Below are 9,110 nucleotides of genomic sequence, written 5' to 3' on the forward strand. Positions count from 1 at the left end.
ATAATTACACATTGCATGCCTGTATCAAAACATCTCATGTATCCCATAAATATATACACCTACTATGTACCCACAAAAATTTATTTTAAAAACAGTATAAATAATAAACAACTTTTAAAAATAAATAAAATAAAATACAATCATAAAGACTTTAACAATGTAAAGAAGAGTAAAATCAGTGAGGACTGCTGTAATCCAGGAATCTGGAAGAGCAACAGCACAGAAGAATAAAAGGAAAGATGGAAATAAAAATAAAATAAGTAATTAAATTAAATTAAAATACAATAAATGTATCTACCCCCTTGGCCTTGGTAATTTAAAACATACTCTGAGGAGACAGTTCTCTATTTTTATCTATTATGTTTGTACAGCAGGAAAATTAATTTCCATAAAACAGAGTAAACCTGGTGAAAGGTCTTTAGTGTATTTAATCTAAATGGAATAGTTTCTCTTTATCATTTTTTTCTAGGGCATATTCTTCCAAACACAAGAAATTTTAGTGCAAATGATTTGAGGGCTTAATCTTATATGGAGGCAATTTAATAGAGTTTCAGGAATCTCTGTAGAAAATCTAGAGGCACATAGAAACTCTGGTATTTGGTTGCTTTTTAAGTTTGAAAATAAATACAACTGTTTTTCTAATTTTTTTTTGTCTTTTTGCCAGTGGGTTTTTTACATGAATCTGAAAGGGCTTCTGAGGGTTATTTATTTATTTATTTTTGCCTTTGAGTTTCATTGATGATGCTTTTTAGTCTCTTATAGGTCTTTCTGTGAATGAGAAGTTAGAATTTTGATTTCTTTTGTAAGCCTCTTCTTTCCACAAATACTATGACTGCTTTCTGGCCAAAATGGGAAATTTCCAGATTTTTCTCTTAGATATTTTGGGACATCCTGTCCTCAGGACAAAGCAGGAAAAAAGCCCACTAGTTGGGGGGGTAATTTCTGGTCACCAATTCCAAATTATATCGAGTAATACCACAGTAGTTTAATATAAGCTAAACAGAAATGGAATTTCTTCTTGGTCATTCAACTGAGGACCCCACTCTGTGGGGTCTAACCTAAAAGAGTAATCTGATTTTTCTCAGGTACACATGGTAAGGGTTAACAGACAAGCAAAAAATATGGTCAGACTCATCCGATAGTCTCTACTGGAAAATACAAAGCATTTCTGAGCTCAAGTTGGGAGCAATGGTATCTTTGGGCAGCAGATATGGAGAAAAATCTGAAAGTACAGTCATGTGTGAATTCAGCCCACATCCTATATTCCACCTCCATTCTTCCTAGGATCTTACAAACAATGCCAAATTGTTCCACAAGAATGACCAGACTCAAAAGTTTTAAATAAGTGTTTGCCATTTATAAGAACTGCTTTTCAGAAAGAAAAGTTGTGGGTGCTAATTACTGAGGATAGGAAGATGACAGAAAAGCTGGGTAAACAGATTTGGAGTTAATTTTTGGGACATCTTGAGCCTGAAATGGCTGAGTAATCCAAGAGATTAGAACAAATATGTAATTCGATATGTAAGTCACAGAACAAGAGAAAAATCCTGCTGACTTCATATTCGTGTTTCTTTCTCAATACACGTGGAGGCAGGGAAATAGCAATCTATACCTTAAACCTGAAATTCACAACAATTTTTCTTCTCCAAATACTTCCAAAGTAGAAAGTCTGGAAACATTATATCTCAACTATGCTACTGAATCCAAGGCCAATACTTTCTTCCAAATTTTAAATTTTTTTTCTTTTTTTTTCTTTTTTTTGAGACAGAGTCTCACTCCATCACCCAGGCTGGAGTACAGTGGCACCATCTCAGCTCACTGCAACCTCCACCTCCCAGGTTCAAGTGATTCTCATGCCTCAGCCTCCTGTAAAATTTGTTTCCTTGTCATGCTACGTAGGCCAGCAAATTTATGCATTCCTCCTTGAAACCTGGCTTCTGTCAAAACCCCACCCTCTGCTAACAAACATGTCTAAATGTCAATGAAAATCTCTAGTATATAAACATTTAACTTTCATACCAGGCTTTTAAGCTTCATGCAAATTAAAAGTCACACATATAAATTAGTCATTTAGTGCATGGCCTTGGATCCATTGGTTTAGGCTGGGATTGTCATTGATCTAAGAAACAGTGAGCAAATGCCAGCAAAGTATATAAAAAAAATAGAAAAAGTAGTGAAAATGACAAAGAAATATTACAGGGCAGATGGCAGAAGAAGAAACTCCAAATATGACTAATATGACTAAGAAAGAACATGCAGAGACCAGAAGCCAAGGCAAAAAAAAAAAAAAAAAAAAAGCAGGGGGGTGTTTCAAAGGATTGAGAAATGTTGTAAAACTCTGGCTAAAGGCAAAGCAAATGGTAAAATGTAAAGAATGCTTACATTTTTCAACAAGAAAGACACTGGCAACCAAAAGCAAGGCCATTTCAGTGGAGTGATGGCACAAAAAGCAGATTTCTCTTAGTTGAGGTAAAATTGGGACTCTAGACTTTGGAGAACTTAGTTGGGAACACTAGTTCTAGAAGTCTGGATCCAAACAGGGGGAGAAATTAGACATTAGCCATAGAAGAGGAGTATATATAACACAATGAACATTTCTTAGCATTTCAAGTACTAGTTGCGAACTAAGTTTGAACTTGGAGGACAATATTCCTCAATTCTCAGGAATGTATGGACATCAAGCACAGTGTCCAGCCTCTGTGCAAAATCGCTTTCTAGCACCATAACCACCATTACCTCTGTCCCACATCCAGAAATGGTCCTCTAGCCTCAAAGCAGGAAGAATGCCCAATGACAAGGCTGTTTATTCTGCTTTCCACTTAGAAAGTTTTACCCTAGTTTGTCTAACAAATTTCTATACTCACTTTCATCCCTCTGTCTTGTTCTGGTTCTTCCTGGGGACTCATCATTATGGCAAACATACCAGGTTAGTTCTCTGGATATCAAAGGCAGCTCTATTGTCTCTTTCCTTAGCCTACAACGTTTACTTGGAGGACCTGATCCCTCTACATGTTCACAGGAGCATCCAAACTCAATACAATTGTCATCTTCCCTTTGCAGTCACCAGAATGGTATCAAAACAGAACAGAAAGGTGACCTTCTCCTTTCTAGGCACACCTGTACTAAGTGATGCCAACATCTTATTGGCTTTATTGGCCAGTGGCCATTCCTATACTCCATAGCTTCACAGCTCTCAGCTTAATCTCTCCAGACCAATGATGACTACCCACAGATGAAAGACACACCACAAAAAGGAATGCATTTTTTATAGGGAAAGCATTCCAGAATGGAGGAGAAATTACTACAGAGGAGACGTTGGTGATATTCAAATGTGAGAGTAGCTTGAACTGTTTGTAACTGACAAGTTGGAGTTAGAGTCGTAATCCTCCTTCACATTTTTAGAACTGGTTATTTTCACAGAAAGTTTCAGGCAGCACTTTTGATCATTTGGGCAGGTTAAGTATTGGATTTCATATTCTCTGCAGGCGTTTCTGCACATGCCTTGGTAAAGCTCACATGGATTCCAAGGCTCTCGGCTCTTGCCATTGTGGGATCTGAACAGGCCACCTGGGAAAGACATGGCCATGTTTAGTTTCCATGCAGCAGTGATAATAGGGTGATGAAGCATGATTTAAAGGAACACGCCCTAAGACTATTAAGGGCACAAGATCTGGAATCAAAACTACCTAGATTCAAATCTGGGCTCTGCCATTTACCATCTCTCCCTCCTCAAGCAAGTTACTTCAGCTCTCCAGTCCTCCATTGCATCATCTTCACAACAGGCAAAATAATAGAGCCAAGTTCCTAAGGTTTTAGTAATGACTAGGTTCATGTATGTAGTATTTTCAAAAAAGCATCTGGCACATAACAAGTAATTGAATATTAGATGATGTAGTTGATATGAAAGTCTTCTCCTGAGAGTATGAGGTTTCAAGGTATGCCACTGTGAGCACATATGTCCCCAAGTGCCTACAGAGATCTGTGACCCTCACACACAGCTAATCAGAGGCAGCCAGGATCTACTCTCAGATAGCACACAAATATTTGAGCCTATGTGCATGCATGCCTTTATCCTCTGAAACATAGGAGCAAACAAGTACTACAACTGTCTCTCTTTGTACATTGGCCTTACAGAAACAGGTACTGTGCATACACAGGCAGCATACTGGCATATACACAGACCCATGTATACAACCCACTTTATTCACAGATCCACATTCTCACATAAATTGAGCACATGTGCTCACTGTACAAACCTTCACCATGCACTTTCCACATATTGCTAATTGCACCTTGATAGCTATGTATAAGTCATCCAGGTGTGTACATGAGTGAACATAAGCTCTTTGCCTGAAAATACCCCAGTGACAAAGTTCCTGACACTTAATCAGCATTCTATAAATATTAGTCATCAATGGTATTACTTACCTATTTGATGTTCTACAGACAAAGGAGCAATTAGAAAGAAATATTAACAATCACTACCATGTACTGTGGTATGGTCCAGCATCAACTATGTACAGGCATTTTACAAATGATAGCTCACTGAACCTCATAAAAACCTGCTGTTATCTTCACTCTTTAGATGAAGACACTGAGGCTCAAAGAGATGCTTTGTTTTGTCTGCATTCTCATAGCTTATACTTGATCAAGCCAGTATTCAATTTCTGGTCTACATGACATCAAGCCTATGCTCTTTTCTCTCTGTGTCACATTGCCTCTCTGTGATAGGCACAGAGAAGACGGCATCATCCTGCATCATGTCTACACACACAGGGCCTTCTACAGATTTCAACCGAGTTCAAAATCCTTAGCTTGGCATTCAAGGACCTTTTCAACCATCCCCCCACTCCCTCATTCCACACCCATTTATGAACACTCTGTGTCAGGCCATGGACTCAGTGCTAAATAGATAGAGGTCTCCAATTAATCAAATTTATTCACTATTAACATTAACGAAAATGGGACAAAGCAAGTATAATGTTATTTCTTGCATGGAAAAAATGAATACTTTGCTAATTTTTAGATTAGAGAAAGTAAAATGCCCAATTTTAGGTGAAGTTGGAGAACGGGAAGAGAAATAAAGAAGAGGGAAATGCCTCCACGGCAGATGTCCCATAACATTTGGGTACTGGAGTGTGTATAAACTGCCCCAGGAATCCAGAGAGGGATTTCAACTGCTCCAACATCAACCAGCCTGCTGGTCAACCAGAGAAAGGAGGTTGAAAATGATACTGATTCATCCATGCTCCAGCACAATGATATCACTGTGTTTCCCACCTTAATCTTCACCCTTATCATGGGACCTGCACACTCTCTCTCTCTCTCAGCACCATTATACTTATGGGAGAAGAAGATTGCAAAGGGCCTCCCCCAAGTGATATCCATACTGTTCTGGCTAACACCTGACCTCTAGGACTTTTCCTTTCTACCAAACACACTGGAGGGCAGTTGGAGACCCAAGATTTCCTGTCTGCAGTCACTGGAGGGATGGATAGAAACACAGATACCAAGAATGAGCAATGGGCAAGCTGCCTTAGAAAGTTGGTCAAGGCCACCCCAAGAGGATTCTGCCTACAGTGATTTAAATAAATTTTTTAAATAAAAATAAAGATTTTGTCATAGATAGTTACAGTTTCTTACTCCTACAGCTTTTCTAACCTTAGATTGCCCTGCATTGCCCCAAATTTTGACATCCACATCAAATTAATGTTAACTTTGATAATCTCTCCATCTTCCGATTGAAGTCAGAGGACCAGCTTTTGCATTTCAGCATAGTCTCTGGCCCTCTGCACCATGCTATATTTTAACCCTCTGGACCCAGTCTCTCCATGTCAGAAAATGGGAATGGGAGACTTTGCACCAAATTAGAAAGTCTCCACTGTGTTTGTGTAAAAAAGAGGTTAATAAGATGTCATACTTCATAATAACCTGGCATATTTTTACGTATATTCATACTAAGTCTCTAGAATTTCTGATTCAGTATATCTAAGGAGAGGCCAGAGCAAGGGTGCTTTGCAAGAGTTCCCCAGAAAATACTAATGGGCTCCTGTTTGCAGTGAAAGCCACGATTCTGCCTAGCCTTCTCACATTCAGCTATAGACATTGCCCAGCTCATTTTTCCACATTGGAAGTGTATTGAAAGCAAATTAAACTGTCTTAAGTCAAAAAACAAAAGGTATCCTCTGGACCTTTTTAAAAATTCCATCCCAAGCCAAAATCAATGTGATATATTATTTCTCTGCCTGCTGTGCAACCAAACATGATCCTCTCCCATCCAATCTCTAAGGTTATTTCTACTCATATATGTTTATTAGCCATGATTCATTACATATTCATTCATTCAATAAGTATTTGCTAAAGCCTACTCTATTCAACACACTCAGCTCAACATCAGAAATGTGTAGATTTAAAAGACAAAGTCTTGGCTTTCAAACAGTTTAATTTCATATGCATACATTTGGGAGGATAAAAGGAAAAATTTGTTTGGATTGTCCTAATAGAAAATGTTGTCCAGAACTGTTCCTGCTCATAAATTCTGCCAAGTAAAAGTACTCAATAATTATTAAGGAAGCTACACTATGTACAACTCTTGAAGCATAGAGTGCTGTCTTCATTTTTGTTGTTGTTTGTGTTTCTTGCAAACCCACTTGTGTTTTCTACCACCATTAGAAATGAGAACTGAGCTTTACTGAGCATGAGAACAAATGTCTCTTGAGCAAAGGAATAAAAGAAGCTGAGAAATAAGGAGGCATGAGAATGTGAAATAGAAGGAATATGAGAAAAGAGAGGAGGAAAAGAAGAAGAAAAACAGAGAAGAAAGAGGAAGAGGAGGAGAAACCTCTAGATCAGATGAATCTGAACTCACTATCGAGGAAGGAAGAACAATCTTGGTTTTCTATAGGGTGGGCTGAGACTGCTCCCATATCTCTCTGTACATGCCAAGATTTGACAGGAGACAATTCCAAACATTCCAGTCTCCTGACTTCCTCTATCTCAGCCATCTACAGTCACATCTATTGTTCTTCAGTGCCCTTGAAAATCACACTTAAGAAACTTTCTTCAGAATTTGAAAATAATACTGGATATTTTTCATCCAGTGTTTATTCTCCCCATTTCCTTATTTAAATCACTTTGTTGAAGTACAATTGGCACACAAAAAGCTATACATATTTAATTTATACATTTTGATGAGTTTGGAGATAAGCATACATTACACCCATGAAACCATCATCACAATCTATGCCATAAACCTATCCACGCCTAAAAGTTTTCTCCCACCATCTTATTTATTATTTTTGGTACATCAAATCTTATTTTAAGAACACTTAACATAAAATCCACTCCCTTGGTAATTTTTGAAATATCCAACACAGTACCGTTAACTATAGGAACTGTGTTGTACAGTAGATTTCTAGGACATATTCATGACAGTATAGTCTCTTCAATAAATGTATTGGGAAAACTAGGTATCTAGATGCAAAATAATAAAATTGGATATTTATCTTACACCATACACAAAAACAAATTCAAAATGGATTAAAGACTTAAATCTAAGACCTGAAACTATAAAACTCCTAGGAGAAAACATAGAGAAAAAGCTTCTTGACGTTGGCCTTGGGAAGGATTTTCTGGATATGACACCAAAGCACAGGCAACAAAAGCAAAAATAAACAAGGGGATTGCAGCAATCTAGAAAGTTTCTGCACAGCAAAGGAAACAGTCTACAAAATGAAGAAACAACCTATGGAATGGGAGAAAATATTTGCAAATCATATATCTGAGAAGGAGTCAATATTCTCCTTATTTCAATAGCCACAACCCTGCTGTGATGAATTCAACTGTCTTACTCAAGCTTAATCACCCCCAAACCCAGGCTAAGTCAATCCCTGCCCAGATAAACCTCACATACCCATGACTGAATAAGATACCCACTTTAGGCAAACACTAACTACAACTCAAGCCCTACCTCTTCTAATAACCACCAAAAGCCCAACTGCAAAACATACAAACATAACACTATCCAAGCCACCCAACCCCATTCACAGCATCAATCTAAAACACAACCCAGCTACAAACCTCTCTATACCCCAACTCCCAGTTGCACCAACTCTACCCCAGCTCCATTCAAGAAAAAATACCATTTCCTCTCTAGAATGCACCAAAACATCTATTCAGCCCAACCTATAAATACAATTATTCACCCCATGCTCATCCCCACTCACTTTTTGGATATTACCCTATCTCTAAGGTCTTACAACCTCCCCACCTCAACTCCCTACCCAACTCCAAACTGCTATACCCCTCCTATAGCTCCTCAACTTGCACACAGTCTCTCACACCTAACTCATGAATTAAGCCCCCATCCCAATGACAGCACTACCTAAAATGTTCCATGCTTAGACTGTCCACTATGCCAGGATCAACAACCTCTTCAATTTGTCTTGGCAGAGCAGAACCAGGGGAGATCTTTACATGAAATTAACCTTGGGAATAACATCTGTGACCCACCTGAGACCAGAAAAGGCTTTAGGTGTTGCCCACTATATGTGAGTAGGAGTCACTGCAGAGGTCACCAAGATACCAGTACCACATGCAAGACGCCAGAACCTTTGAGAGAGGCCTGAGTTACCTGGAGTCTTTTGAGCCAGGATCATAAGGATGGCAATGGTCATTAAACAGGGCTTCATGACTGACATGTTCCACCAGAATGAAGGGCTGTGTTGCAGGTGACCAAACAGAGATCACTGTAGCAGAGCAGTAGCCCGCCTTTATTAGTTTTGGAAATGCGTCAGGGTTCTGTGCAGTGAACTAAAAGGGATGGGAGATACCTGATGTCAGGCAGGAAGAAGGACAACATGTATCACTTATCTGAGCTGGATACTCTGTGTAAGCGTGGGAGACTTGCCAGCAGTGCTCATGTCTGTGTGGGCCTTTCTTCCCATTAAGAAATAAAGACAAATTAGAGCCAGTTGGCATTTTGTGTGAAACGAATTTGAATGAATGAATCAACCAAGCAAGCAAGCAAACTTGAAAAAACTTATAAACAATTAGATAAGAAATAAGCACGTGTATACCTATGTGAGGCACGTGTATACCTATGTAACAAA

General features: G+C 38.6%; 1 protein-coding gene across 1 annotated transcript; it reads right to left on the reverse strand.

Annotated features, from left to right (window-relative positions):
* Positions 1-3,325: 3,325 nt before the first annotated feature.
* DEFB116 (defensin beta 116) lies at positions 3,326-8,699 on the reverse strand. The gene is made up of 2 exons (NM_001037731.1): positions 8,633-8,699; positions 3,326-3,567 (listed from the first exon to the last, which is right to left on the reverse strand). Exons 1-2 carry the CDS (start codon positions 8,697-8,699, stop codon positions 3,326-3,328), a joined length of 309 nt encoding a protein of 102 aa, NP_001032820.1.
* Positions 8,700-9,110: the final 411 nt, after the last annotated feature.

The sequence above is a fragment of the Homo sapiens genome, chromosome 20, assembly GCF_000001405.40.
Source record: "Homo sapiens chromosome 20, GRCh38.p14 Primary Assembly".
In the NCBI taxonomy this organism is placed as follows: domain Eukaryota; kingdom Metazoa; phylum Chordata; class Mammalia; order Primates; family Hominidae; genus Homo; species Homo sapiens.